This window comes from Homo sapiens, chromosome 8 (assembly GCF_000001405.40).
Source record: "Homo sapiens chromosome 8, GRCh38.p14 Primary Assembly".
Lineage (NCBI taxonomy): Eukaryota > Metazoa > Chordata > Mammalia > Primates > Hominidae > Homo > Homo sapiens.
The window spans coordinates 15,683,905-15,700,491 of NC_000008.11; the positions used below are offsets into that span (position 1 = coordinate 15,683,905).

A 16,587-nucleotide genomic window follows, 5' to 3' on the forward strand; every position below is an offset into this window, starting at 1 on the left:
TGTATGGTTTCTTTGGTTGTAAATAGGTTCCTGTGGTGGGTTTCACAGGCTCTGAGTGCTGAAGCAATGTGGTTTTGTTTGGTGGTGTAATTCAGAGTGCAGTCCACCAGCTGACACTTAAGAGATAAGGGCCTGAAAATAGGATCTTAGTCGTGCTCTCCACTTTAGTATTTCACTGCATTCACCGTAGTGCTCTGGGGAGGGAAGGCGGGGGCCATATATGACTGCCTCTCTGGTTTCTGAGATTTGGTGGTAACCCATTCAACTACTGGTGCCTTTCCAATGTTTACCTTGCCCCAGGGGTGGGTGGGGGGCAGGCTCTAATGGGCTGTGCTTCTGCCTCCCATAGAGCAGTCCAAGAGAGTCACAACTCCTTGGGAACCCACTGTTCCTCTGTATTTGCCAGAGTCAGAGTGAGTTGTGGAGTGTGTTCACTGGTGGTCTGGTGATGCAGTAGAGGAAGGGCAGAGGATCCTGACCAGGGCAGTGGCACCGTGTGTACAACTGGTATATTTTCAGCCTGGCAGCCCAAGAGGCTTGAGTTCTCCTGACCTGGTGGGTCTCCCGCCAGTGTCTGCACCAGGAGCAGGCCCAACCGGCTAAGCTTGTCGTAAGCCTTCTGCACCTAGATCACTGTTCTAGGCATTTGATGCCTTGGGACTCCCTGGGGAAGAAGCTGCAGCTGGCTGTCAGGCTGCGTTCCTCCCGGACTGGTCTTATGAAAGGAGGGATGCCCAGCTCTGATGTCAGCACATGAGCCCATGCCACAGTCTTCTCTGTGTTCTGAGATTGAGGGCTGCTTCCCCACTCAAGCTAAGGCCACAGATCTGCAGCTTGGTATCCCTGGGTGGTGTGGTCAAGTCCTGGGGAGTTGGGACCAGATCCAGGGGTTTGTTCTCTAGCCCCTGGATGTAAAGCAGCAGCTGTGCTGCAGGAGAGCAGACTGCTCCTAGACCTCCAGCAAAACACTCAGATGGGGCAATGGAGGCTGTGCTGTGGGCACACTTCTGCAAGATCGTTCAGGCAGGCAGGCTTAGGAGGGGCCACGGGGTTACATGGATCAGATGCACCCCAGTCCTGTGGCAATGGTGGCCCTGCTCTCTTGCAGCCTAGCAGACAGCAGTAGCTACAGCCACTCAGTACAGCATGGCACACCTCGGGGCGTGAACACCTTTGGTCACATTTTGCTGGAGCTGCACTGCGTAGTGAAACATTTGGGGGTGCATGCAAGTTTGAGCTGTGCTTCTGCCTATTCTCTGAGTGGCTTCCCTGCCGGTTCAGAGGTCTTTGGGGGTCTTGGGAAACCTGTAGCTGGGATCCCAGAGGTATGTGGTGGGAGTGTGCTGCCGAAATTCCTTCACTCACCGCTTCCTCAGGTCTGGTTCAGTACAGGAGGCCGGTCCTAGTGCCCAGCGACTCTGAGTGGCTTCCTGGCTTCCTCCCTCTTTAATCACAGTGTCCATCTCTTCTCTATTGACTTGATGCTTTCTCACAAAATCTTTATTCAGAGTGTGATGGTTTATTTGATATTTTGGTTCCTCTTGGTGGACAGTTCCCGGCTGTTTCTAGACATCTTGAAGATTTTAAAAATTCTTAAACAGTTGGATAGATAATTTGTTCCCTTAACAGAAAGTTTATTATTGATGCTCTGTCAACAGGGCCTGTGTTTTGAATTGTATTTTTCAAAAGTGGTATTCACTGCAGTCCTCTGGGCTATTTATTTCTACTACACATTGACCTTAACATCAACAGTGTACACTTGGGGGAAACACTGTTTAGAATGGCGCATAGTTTGTGGCAGTCAACAGAATCAATATATAACAGACCTATATGAGCTCTGAAATTCTGATTCTATCTTTAATAGCTTAATTTTCCAACTGCATTGAGCAAATTGGGCCTGACAAGCTTAGTAAAAGACAGGAGTATTTTGTTGGGTATTCATTTAGTTCTTAGGTTTTTTTTTTTTTGAAAAATTAGTGGTATTTGTAAGGCTAGTGACTCTGCTCATATTAATTGTGAAATCAAACATGTCTAGGAAAACCTGAAGATATTGACAAAGTGTTTCTTCATTGAGCTTAAATGTAAATGAATACAGAGAATATAAAGAAAATTAATAGTGCAGGCAGTGTGATGCGGTGCTGCTTTGCAAGTTTATTTGTTTGTCACTATTAAGATACTATGTAATGGCACAAGTCAAGTACTAATGGTCCACTTAACAGCATGAAAATCAACACAAAAGCAGTCATTATTGTGTAGCTAAAGGGAAACTATACAAACATATGGTTACATAGGACATAAAAACAATTTTTGTTGTTAAAAAAGCAATAATCTTTAACAATATGCATTTAATGAAATAAAGCTTATGCGTAGGCTGTAACTCCCACCGTGAACAAATGCGTTATTTTCAAGATTTGGATTTTAGCTACTGCTTGAGGATTGCTATGGGTTTGCCAGATATAGTCCAAAAATTTTCACTGCATTACAATTCAGTTGTGAGTAAAACTAAGCGTTATATTCTGCATGCACATGCAGAACATTTTATTGCAAAATGACCTGCTGATTTAGTCTAAAATTTATCATCGAGGCATTTTTTTTTTCTATTTCTTAGGCAGCCATACCATATTGTACTTTATCCAACTTTCTTCACTTTCATGCCTCAGGGATTTTGCACATGCTAGGTCTTTGAGAGTCATTAAGGATGCTATCATCCCATTTTTTAAAAAACTTAAAAATCATATAGACTGATTTAGATTAAATATAATTATTATATTTTCAACAGAAATATTTACAAAGGGCATTCAGTAGCTTTATTACAGTCTTCATACCACCAGCAAAGAGAATGTTAACATTATCCTGAAATTTTTAAACAAAAAAACCCAGCTGGCCGGGCGTGGTGGCTCAAGCCTGTAATCCCAGCACTTTAGGAGGCCGAGTTTGGCGGATCACAAGGTCAGGAGATCGAGACCATCCTGGCTAACACAGTGAAACCCCGTCTCTACTAAAAATACAAAAAATTAGCCGGGCATGGTGGCAGGCGCCTGTAGTCCGGTCCCAGCTACTCGGGAGGCTGAGGCAGGAGAATGGCCTGAACCCGGGAGGCGGAGCTTGCAGTGAGCCGAGATCGTGCCACTGCACTGCAGCCTGGGTGACAGAGCAAGACTCCGTCTCAAAAAAAACAAAAAACAAAAAAATGGTAAGACAAGAGTAATTGACATACATTAAGGATATACAGAAATCTTGATGTTAGTATTTGGAATTGAGATTCTTCCCTCTTATTTATTTATGCCTTTATTTTTCCATCTGATTAACATATTTGTTAGGTACTCTGTTTCCAGTAGTAGTACAGATACATCATGCAGCTCATCATCTAGTGGGGATACATAATATGATATCGGTTAGCCTCAAGTCTCAGTCTTCAGAGCCTCGCTTCTTATTGAGTTACATGATATTTGAGGCTGCAATTGTTTTAGAATTTTGCCTCAGCACCATGGTCATTTTATGGCTGTGACACTGCATCTGATGTCTTTCAAACTCTGCCTTAATCTTTATATTCCTTTTTATTTTTTCATATTTGTGTCTGTCTAGTTAGCTTTGGTAGAACTCCATCTTCAGCATCTGTTGTTGCCGCTCATTCCTTCTTTCCACCTGGTTTTAATTTTTAGTGTCACCATTTAAACTACATGCATTCTTGATCCTAACGTCTGACTGAATCTTGATTGCCAGCCCAGACTGCTCTTACACTTCCCTTCAACTGTTGCTGCCTATCTATGATCCTGCCAATTAATTACAACGAAGAACCTTGTGATTTGTACCCTTACTTCATGACAAAGCACTTCACACGTGGCAGATACTAAATAAATGATACTGCATAGATAAATAAATCTTTCTTTGCAAATAGGAACTCAGATTGTATCTTTAGCCTTTCAAAATGTTAAGTATATCAGAAAAAAATTGTTTTCCCTGCTAACATTTGTTTGTAATTAAAACCACATGCACAGAGGGATTATGGAACTGCATAATGAGAATGTGTTTTAATATGTCAAACTTCATCTAATACAGTTAATTATTCTCTGAGTATCAAGAAGAAATATTACATCAGAGGAGAAAGGATAAGAACAAAAAGAGAAGAATCAGTCCTCCCACAGAGAAAGGGATAAACTACCTGTTAACTTTTTCATATTCTTTAATTTTTTTCCTATTAGGAAAATTGTGTAGTACATTGGAAAGAGTCCTGTGGTCTTAAAAAAACCAAAGATATTATTTTCATCGTATCAATAAAGTTGAGTACAATTATATTAAAGATACTCATAATTATATACATTCAGGATTGAAAAAAGCGTTTCTCATTTATAACTCTACAATTTCAGAATAAGATGTACATTTCAGTAACTCAGAAAAATTGTTTTCAATGCATGTTTATCAAGCATCATTAGGTTTTGACTCCACATAATGCTAGTCTCTGACTTTAGTAAGTTTTTCGTAACCTTACATAAAATAAACATTCAAAAACTAACACTTCAGTATTCTTTTTTTTTTTTTTTTTAACTTTTAGGTTCAAGGGTACTTGTGCAGATCTGTTATATAGTTAAATTGTGTGTCACAGGGGTTTGATGTACAGATTATTTCATTGCCCAGGTAATCAGCATAGTACCCGATGGGTAGTTTTATGATCCTCACCCTCAAGTATACCCTAGTATCTGTTGTTTCTGTCTTTGGTCTTTTGTTTTTGTTTGAAATAGAAATTTATTCTCAGAATAACGCACAAAAGCACACGTTGAGGCTGCTGTTAGGAGATTTCCCTCCCTTCCATTTCCTCCTTCTCCTCTCCTCTCTGTATGCCAGGGAGGACACAGTTGAAGGAAACGTGCAATCACAAACAATGATCAGCTCTAAACACAAAAAAGTTTGGTCCAAAAGAACTCAGCGTAATTAATCCAGTTACTTTGTAGAATTTCACTAGGTAGGATTAAGATACTGCAGATGTAGTGTTTCCAGGAGCGGTTTGTCAGTGCACCAGGGGTCGCCTGCTTGAGGGAGTTGAGGACTGAGTGCATACAGGAGACCTCTTTGCCCTGCTTGCTGACTTGGGGTTACAGTCAAACAACCGGGCCACCTGTTACCACCCAGTGCAGGGGGATGACTCGTCAATGTCATTTACAAAATCTTCTGCCCTGTAGTTTGCCTTTCTTTTCTGTAGCTGCTCGTCTTGTCTTGCACGCCATTCTTCTAGCTCATTTATCGCTTTTTCTTTCCACTCTGCTTCTTGCTTCGGAGAATAAGCAGCAAGGGCTGCTAAGCATTCCATTTTCTCTTCTTTGCATCTGCATATATTTTCAGGCTGGATGGGAATCGATCCACTTGTGAAATAGCTGCATAATTGTCTCTTGGACCATTACTTTCCTGGTAGTAGTCACCATCATCACTCCGTCAACAGCATCTGGACTCCCAGCTGTTCACCTTGTGGCTGGGGCCTGGGGGTGACACCATCCAGGATGTCGAAGGCGACCTTGTTGTTCTTGATACCCATAGTCTTGCTCTCTTGCAGTGCCAAGAAGGCCGCAGCTGGGTCTTCTTCACTGGCGCCAGCCACTCCGTTCCCCAGGACAGGATCCCCAGGGGTGCCAGCAGGGACACCGAAGGGATGTTGCTCAGCCATGTCGTGCAATTTAACGACACAGACACCAACCCACCAACACCATGCCTGGCAATCGTGGCTGTGGTAGTGTCTGGGAGATGTTGTTCCTTTCTTTGTGTCTATATGTACTCAGTGTTTACCACCCACTTGTAAGTGAGAACATGGCTCTATTTGGTTTTCTCTTCCTGTGTTAGTTTGCTTAGGATAATGGCATCCAACTCCATTCATGTTTCTGCAAAGCACATGATCTCATTCTTTTTTATGGCTGCTTAATAGTCCATGGTGTGTGTGTGTGTGTGTGTGTGTGTGTGTGTGTGTGTGTGTATAAATATATATATATATGCATGCCACATTTTCTATATCTGTTCTACCATTGATGGACATTTAGGTTAATTCCATTTCTTTGCTCCTGTGAATAGTGCTATGATGCACATACACGTCTGTGTGTCTTTATGGTAGAACAATTTATATTTTTTGGGGTGTATACACAATAATGGGATGGCTGGGTCAAATGGTAATTAATTCTGTTTTAAGCTCTTTGAGAAATCGCCAGACTGCCTTCCACATTGGCAGAACTAATTTACACTCCTACTGGCAGTGTATAAACTTTCTTCTCTTCCACAATCTCGCCAAAATCTATTATTTTATGTCTTTTTAATAGGCATTCTGATTGGTGTGAGGTAGCATCTTGTGGTTTTGATTTGCATTTCTGTAATGATTAACGCTGTTGAGCATTTCTTCTTATGCTGTGGGCCACATGTATGTCTGCTTTTGAAAAGTGTCGGTTCATGTCCTTTGCCCACTTTTAAAGGGAGTTTTTTTTTTTGCTTATTTAAGTTTCTTACAAATTCTGAATATTAGACCTTTGTCAAATGTATAATTTGCAGCCACTTTCTCCTGTTCTGTAGGTTGTCTGTTTATGCTGTTGATAACTTCTTCTGGTGTGCAGAAACTCTTTAGTTTAATTATGTCCCATTTGCCAATTTTTCTTTTTCTTGGAGTTGCTTTGAGTGTCTTCATCATGAAATCTTTGCCAGATCCCATCTCCAGAATGGTATTTCCTGTGTTATCTTCTAGGAGTTTTATCGTTTTGTTTTTACATTTAAGTATTTCATCCATCTTGAGTTGATTTTTATGTATAGTGTAAGGAAGGGATCCAGTTTCAGTCATCTGCATATGGCTAGCAAGTTATCCCAGCACCCCTTACTGAATAGGGAATCCTTTCCCCATTGTTTGTTTTTGTCAGGTTTGTCAAAGATCAGAGAGTTGTAGGTGTGCAGCATTACTTCTGTGCTCCTTATTCTGTTCCATTGGTCTGTGTGTCTATATTTGTACCGGTACAATGGTGTTGTGGTTACTGTAGCATTGCAGTATAGTTTGAAGTCTGGTAATGCCAAATGCCTCCAGCTTTGCCCATTTTGCTTAGGATTGCCTTGGCTATTCAGGCTATTTTTTGGTTCCATATGAATTTTAAAATAGTTTTTTTCCTAATTCTGTGAAGAATGTCCTTGGTAGTTTGATAGAAATATCACTGAATTTGTGGATTGCTTTGGGCAGTGTGGCCATTTTAGCTATAGTGATTCTTCCTAATCATGAACATGAAATGTTTTTCCATTTGTTTGTATCATCTCTGATTTCTTTGAACAACATTTTATAATTATGAAATATTTCAGAGGTCTTTTACCTCCCTGATAACCTGTATTCTTAAGTATTTTATTCTTTTTGTGGCAGTTGTGAATGGGATTTCATTCTTAATTTGGCTTTCACCTTGGATGTTTTTGGTGTATAGGAATGCTATTGATTTTTCTGCATTGATTTACTAGCCTAAAACTTTGCTGAAGTTGTTTAGCAGATCAAGAAGCTTTTGGACAGAGACTATGGGGTTTTCTAGGTGGAGAGTTAAATTGTCTGCAAACATAGATAGTTTGACTTCCTCTCTTTTTATTTTGATGCCTTTTATTTCATTCTCTTGCTGGATTTCTCTGGCTAGGACTTAACAGTACCATGTTGCATTGGAGTGGTAAGAGAAGGCATCTTTATCTTGTTCCAGCTTTCAAGGGGAATGTTTCCAGCTTTGCCCATTCACTATGATGTTGGCAGTGGGTTTTTCATAGAGGGCTGTTATTTTTTTGAAATATGTTCCTTCAGTGTCTAGTTTGTTGAGGGTTTTTAACATGAAGGAATATTGAATTTTTTTTTGAAAGCCTTTCCTGTATGAAGATGATCAGGTGGTTTTTGTTTTTGTTTGGTTTTTGTTTTGAGACAGTCTCGCTCTGTTGCCTAGGCTGGAGTTTAGTGGTGTAATCTTGGCTCTTTGCAACCTCTGCCTCTTGGGTTCAAACAATTCTCTTGCCTCAGCCTCACCCAAGTAACTGGGATTACAGGTGCTTGCCACCATGCCTGGCTAATTTTTGTATTTTTAGTAGAGACAGGGTCTCACCATGTTGGCCAGGCTGGTCTTGAATTCTTGGCCTCAAGTGATCCACCCACCACGGCTTCCCAAAGTGCTGGGATTTCAATCGTGAGCCACCACGCCTGGCACATGTGGTTTGTTTTATTAGTTCTGTTATGTTGTGCATCACATTTATTGATCTGTGTATGTTGAACCAACATTGCATACCAGGGATAAAGACTACTTGATCATGGTGGATTAACTTTTTGATGTACTGCTGGATTTAGTTTGCTAGTATTTTGTTGAGGATTTTTGGATCCATGTTCATAAAAAAATATTGGCCTACTGTTTTCTTGTTTTGTTGTTTCTCTGTTAGTTTTTGGTATCAGGATGATGCTAGCCTCATAGAATGAGTTTGGGAGGAGACCCCCCCCCCCCCCTTTGTTTTTTTTTTTTTTTTTTTTTTTTGCAATAGTTTCAGTGGGAATGGTACCAGCTCTTCTTTATACATCTGGTAGAATTTGGCTTTGAATCCAGCTGGTCCTGGGCTTTTTCTTGTTGTTAGGCTTTTTATTACTTATTCAATTTCAAAACTTATTATTGGTCAGTTCAGGGATTCACTTTCTTCCTGGTTCAGTCATGGGAGGTTGTATGTTTCCAGGAATTTATCTGTTTCTTCTAGGTTTTCTAGCTTGTGTGCATAGAGGTATTTGTAGTAGTTTCTGAGGGCTTTTTTTTTTTTCTATTTCCATGGAGTCAGTCGTAGCACCCCCTTTGTCATTTCTGATTGAGTTTATTTGGATATTGTCTCTTATTTTAGTAGTCTAGCTAGTGGTCAATTTACTAGTTTTCCACTATTGGACTGTGTGGTTATGTCAGTCTCTTCATAGGTCTCTAAGAACATGTGTTCCTCTATTGGGTGCATATATATTTAAGATAGTTAGATCCTCTCGTTGAATTGAGCCCTTTACCACTATGTAAAGGGCTTGTCTTTCTTGATCTTTGTTGCTTTAAAGAATGTTTTGTCTGAAATTGGAATACCAAACTCTGCTTTCTTCTGTTTTCCATTTGCTTGGTAGATTTTCCTCCATCTCTTCACATTGAGCCTATGGATGTCACTGCATGTGAGATGGATCTGTTGAAGACAGCTTACCATTGGTTCTTGATTCTTTATGCAACTTGCTTCTTTGTGCCTTTTAATTGGGGCATTTAGCCTGTTTACATTCAAGGTTGATACTGATATGTATGGATTTGATCCTGTCATCCTACTGTTAGCTGGTTATTACGTAGACTTGTTTGTGTGGTTGCTTTACAGTGTCACTGGTGTATGTATTTAAGTATATTTTTATAGTGGCCAGTAACAGTCTTTTCTTTCCACATTTAGTACTCCCTTCAGAACCTCTATTGAGGTGGTTCTGGTGGTCATGAATTCCCTTTCAGAAAAGGATGTCTTACTTATTTGCTTATGAAGCTGAAGTTGGCTGGATATAAAACTCTTGGTTGGAAGTTCTTTTTTTTTTTTTTTTTTTTTTTTAAAGAATGCTGAATATAGGTTGAATCTCTCCTGGCTTGTAGGGTTTCTGCTGTTTTAAGCCTTATTGGGGGTTTCCTTTATAGGTGATCTGGCCCTTTTCTCTAGCTGCCTTAGCTTTTTTTTCCTTTCATTTTGACCTTAGAGAATCTCATGTGTCTTGGGATGGTCATCTTGTATAGCATTTCACAGGGGTTCTCTGCATTTCCTGACTCTGAATGTTGGCCTCTCTGGCAAGCTTGGGGAAATTTTCACGGATGATATTCTGAAATACACTTTCGAGGTTGCTTGCTTTCTCTCCCTTACAGGGACACCAGTGAGTCGTAGATTTGGTTCCCTTTACATAGTCCCATATTTTACATAGGTTCTGTTCATTCTTTATTGTTTTTTCTTCATTTCTGAATGAGTTATTTCAAAGAGCCAGTCTTTGACCTCTGAGATTCCGTCCTCAGCTTGCTCATTTGTGCTGTTGATACTTGCGATTGTATTCTGAAATTCTCTGAGTTTTTCAGCTCTATCAGCTCAGTTTAGTTCTTTGTTGAAATAGCCATTTTGTCTTTCATCTCCTGTATAGTTTTATTGTATTCCTTAGAATCCTTGCACTGGGTTTCAACTTTCTCTTGAATCCTAGTGATCTTCGTTTTTATCCATATTCCATATTGTATTTCTGTTATTGTAGCCTGGTTAAGAACCATGTTGGCCGGGCACAGTGGCTCATGCCTGTAATTCTAGCACTTTGGGAGGATGAGGCGGGCAGATCGCCTGAGGTCAGGAGTTTCATACCAGCCTAGCCAACATGGTGAAACCCTGTCTCTACTGAAAATACAAAATTAGCCAAGCATGGTGGCGTGCGCCGTTAATCCCAGCCACTCAGGAGTCTGAGACAGGAAAATCACTTGAACCTGGGAGGCTGCAATAAGCCGAGATCACGCCATTGCACTCCAGCGTGAGCAACAAGACGGAAACTCCATCCAAAAAAAAAAAAAAAAAAAAAAAAAGATTGTTGGGGAACTAGTGTGGCCATTTGGAGGTAAGAAGACACTCTGGCTTTTTGAATTGCCAGAGTTCTTGCACTGGATGTTTTTATCTTCGTGGGCTGATGTCCCTTCAGTCTTAGAAGTTGTCATCCTTTGGATGAGTTTTTTGTTCTTTTATCCGCTTTGATATCCTTGGGGCCTTGATTATGGTATAAGGTGGGCATGGTTGACTGGCTTTGATTCTGGAAGATTTTGGGGGGCCATGGCTTAGCTCAGGACTCCCGAGCTGCATGCCCTAACTCTGGGGGGCTGGTTTCAGGCCCTAGCTTTGTTCTCTGGTCCCTCCTGATTACTGGAGGGGGTGAGTTGTTCCCAGATTGCTGGTCACAACACTCCCATGAGTGGTGTCAGCCAAAATGCTTCATAGGAAGGTGGCAGTGAGATTCGTGCTGGTTCACTTACGCCAGCAGCAGCAGCAGTCTGGCAGGGTGCATGCTCGTTGCCCAAGCTGAGGTATTGGGTGTGCTGGTGTGGTGGCATCCAAGCATGTGTTTGCACCATTGCCGGTGTCATAGCAGGGGCAGAGATCTTTTGGGCATGTGCCCTCCATTCACACTGACAGCAGTGGCAGCGCAGCGTTTGCGGAGAGGCCACTAGTGTCAGTGCAGTGGTGGTGTCAGTGGAAAGATCGGGTACAGGAAGGCATGCAGTTAGCACCATCTGATATGGTTTGGTTGTGTCCCCACCTAAATCTCATCTTGAATTTTAACTCCCACGGTTCCCACATGTCATGGGAGGGACCCAGTGGGAGGTAATTGAATCATGGGGGTAGGTCTTTATCATGCTTATTCTCATGATAGTGAATAAGTCTTATGAGATCTGATGGTTTTATAAACAGGAGTTCCCCTGCATTAACTCTCTCTTGCCACCATCCATGTAAAACATGACTTGTTCCTCCTTGTCTTCTGCCATGATTGTGAGGCCTTGCCAGTCACATGGAACTGTAAGTCCATTAAACCTCTTTTTCTTCCCAGGCTTGGGTGTGTCTTTATCAGCAGTGTGAAAACGGACTAATACAGTAAATTGGTACTGGTGGAGTGGGGCGATGCTGAAAAGCTACCCAAAAATGTGGAAGTGACTTTGGAACTTGGTAACAGGCAGAGTCTGGAAAAGTTTGGGGGCTTTAGAAGAAGACAGGAAAATGTGGGAAAGTTTGTAACTCCCTAGAGACTTGTTGAATGGCTTTGATCAAAACGCTGATAATGATATGAACAATGAAATCCAGACTAAGGTGGTCTCAGATGGAGATGAGGAACATGTTGGAAACTGGAGCAAAGGCGACTCTTGTTACGTTTTAGCAGAGACAGGTGGCATTTTGCCCCTGCCCTAGAGATTTGTGGAACTTTGAACTCAAGAGAGATGATTTAGGGTATGTGGTGGAAGAAATTTCTCAGCAGCAAAGCATTCAAGAAGTGAGGTGGGTGCTGTTAAACGCATTCAGTTTTATAAGGGAAGCAGAGCATAAAAGTTCAGAAAATTTGCAGCCTGACAAGGAGATAGAAGAGAAAAACCCATTTTCTGAGGAGAAATTCAAGCCAGCTGTGGAAATTTGCATAAGTAATGAGGAGCTGAATGTTAATCCCCAAGACAATGGGGAAAATGTCTCCAGGGAATGTTAAAGGTCTTCAGGGCAGCCTTTCCCATCACAGGCCCAGAGGCCTAGGAGGCAAAAATAGTTTCGTGGGCTGGGCTCAGGGTCCTCGTGCTGTGTGCAGCCTAGGGACTTGGTGCCTTGCATCCTTGCTGCTCCAGCTGAGACTAGAACGGGCCAAGGTACAGCTCGGGATGTGGATTCCGAGGGCACAAGCTCCAAGCCTTGGCAGCTTCCATGTGGTTCCTGTGAGTACACAGCAGTCAAGAATTGAGGTTTGGGAACCTCTGTATAGATTTCAGAGGATGTATGGAAACACCTGGATGTCAAAGCAGAAGTTTGATGCAGGGGTGGGGCACTCAAGAACCTCTGCTAGAGCACTGTGGAAGGGAAATGTGGGGTCAAAGCGCTCACACAGAGTCCCTGCTGGGACACCGCCTCGTAGAGATGTGAGAAGAGGGCCACCGTCCTCCAGACCCCAGAATGGTAGATACAGTCACAGCTTACACTGTGTGCCTGGATCCCTGCATCCCTGGTGTGAAACCCACTTGATCATCTGTTCAGGTGGATTATCTGTTTGATACGTTGTTGGGTTCAGTTAGCTAGCATCTTGTTAAGGATTTTAGCACCTATGCTCATCAGGGATATCTGTCTGTAGTTTTCTTTTTTGGTTATGTCTTTTCCTGGTTTTGGTATTAGGGTGATACTGGCTTCATGGAATGATTTAGGGAGGGTTCCTTCTTTCTCTGTCTTGTGGTATAGTGTCAGTAGAATTGGCACCAATTCTTCTTTGAATGTCTGGTAGAATTCTGCTGTGAATCTAGCTGGTCCTGGACTTTTTTTTGTTGGTAATTTTTAAATTACCATTTCATTCTTGCTCCTTGTTATTGGTCTGCTCAGGGTATCAAATAAGCTAGGAGGGTTGCATCTTGCCAGGAACTTAACCATCTCTCTAGGTTTTCTAGTTTAGGCACTTAAAGGTGTTCATAGTAGCCTTGAATGATCTTTTGTATTTCAGTGGTGTCAGCTGTAATATGTCCCTTTTCATTTCTTATTGAGCTTGTTTGGATTTTGTCTCTATTTTTCTTGGTTAATCTTGCTAATGGTCTATCAGTTTTATTTATATTTTCAAAGAACCAGCTTTTTGTTTCATTTATCTTTTGTATTTTGTTTTTGTTTCAATTTCATTTAGTTCTGCTCTGATCTTGGTTATTTCCTTTCTTCTGCTGAGTTTGGGTTTGGTTTGTTCTTGTTTCTCTAGTTCCTTGAGCTGTGACCTTAGATGGTCTGTTTATGCTCATTCAGACTTTTTGATGTAGGCATTTAGGGCTATGAACTTTCCTCCTTGCACAGCCTTTGCTGTATTTCAGAGGTTTTGATAGGTTTTGGCTGTCTTTGTGAGGGTGCCAAGTGCTGGGGGGTCTAGTTCGCTATCTTGCTACAACTTTCTCAAATGCAAATATCTTGACCACAGAATCAGAATTGTATTCATCTTTATAATCCTCTCTATAAGGCTGCACATACCTGTTGAATGAGTGAATGAATGAGCCAAAGGAAGTGCATAGAAAATGACCAGACCTAATGGGTTATGTACATTTTATTATCTGTTTAGGTCATAATGCTGCCTGTGTTTTCCTATGTATTTGTAAAATGTAAAGGATTTCGTTTTTGTTGTCCTGTTTTTGGAGTAACCTGAGAAATTGTTTTAGATTTGTTTTGATTTACGTAGTAACTAGCAGACTTAGCTATATACAATGCAAAGATTATTATTTGTGAAATTATTTCTAGCCATCTAACAATATCAGTATTTAGTCTAGTTAATAAATTACCTTATACAGATTATATCAGAGTTTAATATCTTTGAAAAGTTTTGGACTTATCCAAAATATATTTAATTTGGTTTACCCCAAACTGTGTGTTGAAATACAAAGTTAATATACACCATACAAATTTAAAAACAATTTAAAATATTGCTGTTCTTTACTATAACTTATACTCTTTTATTTTATCCCTTAAAATGAATCTTAAAAAATACTATTGAAGTTTATAATATTCAAAGTAAGCCCTGTTCCTAAAATGAATTTTATAATAGATGTCTAGCAAAGCTGCTGTGTTAATAATGCAAAAATGCTGTAATTCTCTCCCAAAGAAGCAATTACTGTGAAAATCAACATTTTATTTCTGCCAAGAAAAAAAATTATTGTGTTCTACATCAAATTCTGCAAGAATCAGTTAAAAACTCTGTAAGTTAGGACTTTACAATTTCTTTCAGTAAACTTATGAAAACAATTATGAAATAAGTATTAACTATATATTGTGTTTGAGACTTGATTTTCAGTTTATATACTTACTAAATCCTTAAGTTATAATTTTAGGTTCAAAGTATAAACTCAACTTCAACCTCAGGAATGCTTTTCCCATTATATGAGACTGCCTCAAACCTCATTTATGGTTCAGAAATGTCTTTATTATGTTACCGAGGTAATCTCTACAGCACCTAAATTGTTTATACTATTACATCTCAGAATATTTGCTATTAGGTAATTAGAGTATCTGACAATATTAGATATTTAGGATATTTTTTCTGTGCCATTCTCTCATTACTAGGTGAAAATGAAATGTTTTTTACATATTTGACTTTGATACATCTTCATTATGCTCTTTTATTGCTTATAAATAGAAATCATTATTTTTCTCCAGTTTGCTTATCAATAAGTTAACATATGAAGTTCTGAAAGCATGGACCATTCTCTTTTTTTCATTTTTTTTTTTTGAGACAGGGTCTTCTCCTGTGGCCCAGGCTGGAGTTCAGTGGCGTGATCACAGCCTACTTTTAACTTCAAAATCCTAGGCTCAAGCCATCCTCCCACCTCAGCCTCCTTAGTAGCTGGGACTACAGGTGCATGCCACTGCACCCAACTAATTTTTAAAATTTTTTGTAGAGACAGGGTCTTGCTATGTCATCTAGGCTGGTCTTGGACTCCTAGCCTCAAGTGATACTCCAGCACTGGCCTGCCAAAGTACCAGGATTACAGAGGTGAGCCAACCATGTGCAGCCATCTTCAGCCTATTTTAAATGAACAATTTTTTAAAAATACACTGTAAATATAACTAGCAATCATTTAACTGTAACAACTATTCAGTGAATTGTAATGTATATTTTATTACTGGTAATTAATTAATTCATTAATAAAGGCATTCTCATTTTAGAAAAAGTGTTTTTCATTTTCTCCTAGCACTTTCATTCACCATAGTTCTCAAAACTTGCAAACTTTTAGACTGCACTCTCTCACCACTGTTTCTTGCTCTGTCTGTACTGTTTCACTGATGGTAGTGAAACAGACTACTTGGATTTTAGTGTCCACCTGTCAGTATTCAAAATCTAACATAAAACCTAGCATTAACAATGGTAATATGATCTGATGTAATTGATGTGACTTTTAAAAAATGCTGTTTGCTCCAGGAAAAAGATTATATGCAGAAACTTATTTCCTTATTAAATAATACTTGTATTTTCAAATGAACTTTATATCCTGATAGCACATGACATTTTCCCTTTAATATGAGTTTGAAAGATGAGGAAGTTGTATAACAAGAGTGAAAAGCCATTGGAATACTTTGTTGCTTGTTAGATTTAGTGCCCTTTACAAAGAGTATGGACTTTTTTTAAGCGTTGTACAGGAAAAGTCTAATTTAATGTTTTATAAAGCACTTAGAGGTTAAATAGAACTTTTAAAATGGATTTCTTTTGACCAAGTGATTATCCTTTCAACAAGTGCTATAGAAGGAAGAATTATATAAGCATCAGCAAAAGCCTCTATATAATGTCTTGCTAGCCCATTTTTTATAAACGGGACTTGAGTCAGCAGAAAGGGCATTCCAATATTGCAACATTAGAATCTTTTTATAATCTTTTTATTATCTACATTTGAATAGAATCTATTATTATAGAGATTAAATACCCTGTCCTGTGTGTGTTCCTTAGATTGAAAACAGGACAAGATTACAGTGAAGGCATCAGCTTAGGGTATGAAATTCTGAATCCAAATACATTTCAACTCCAAATAATCTCTGGGTCCAGAAAGCCAGTTGCACTGACTCAGAAAAAAGTTTATCATGCTTTTCCACCAGACAGACTCACACTTCAAGTCATTTATTTAATTCAATTCAATGAATAACTACGGTATGCTTTTCCCTCTGTGTAGCTCTGGGGGTGTAACAGTATTCTGGGCTGAATTCCTGTATTTGTGAAGTTCATAATTTATTCAGGGCTGCAGGTGATTCTACAGTTAATTTCTGATAGAATATGAGACTAGCTATAATCATAATATAAGCAAAGTGCTGTGTGAACAGAGTAAGTAGGAGTGAAAGAGCCTTTTCCTTAGGCTGGATATTGTAGGA

The 16,587-nt window shown here is 39.9% G+C and overlaps 1 protein-coding gene and 1 pseudogene across 34 annotated transcripts in view; one reads left to right on the top strand and one right to left on the bottom strand.

The window, feature by feature from the left end:
- Positions 1-16,587, top strand: part of TUSC3 (tumor suppressor candidate 3) — a 434,904-nt gene that overhangs the window by 266,717 nt on the left and 151,600 nt on the right. Inside the window, exon 7 of one of the 34 annotated variants that reach the window (NM_001413688.1) lies at positions 14,963-15,395. The exons of 32 other annotated variants lie outside the window; for them this stretch is intronic. In NM_001413688.1, coding sequence (NP_001400617.1) covers positions 14,963-15,037 — 75 coding nt within the window. In that variant the 3' untranslated portion in view covers positions 15,038-15,395. Of the gene's footprint in view, positions 1-14,962; positions 15,396-16,587 lie in introns of those variants that run through there. One more of the 34 variants, NM_001413681.1, reaches the window with a different exon arrangement.
- On the bottom strand, positions 4,729-5,734 carry LOC100431174 (clathrin light chain A pseudogene; annotated as a pseudogene).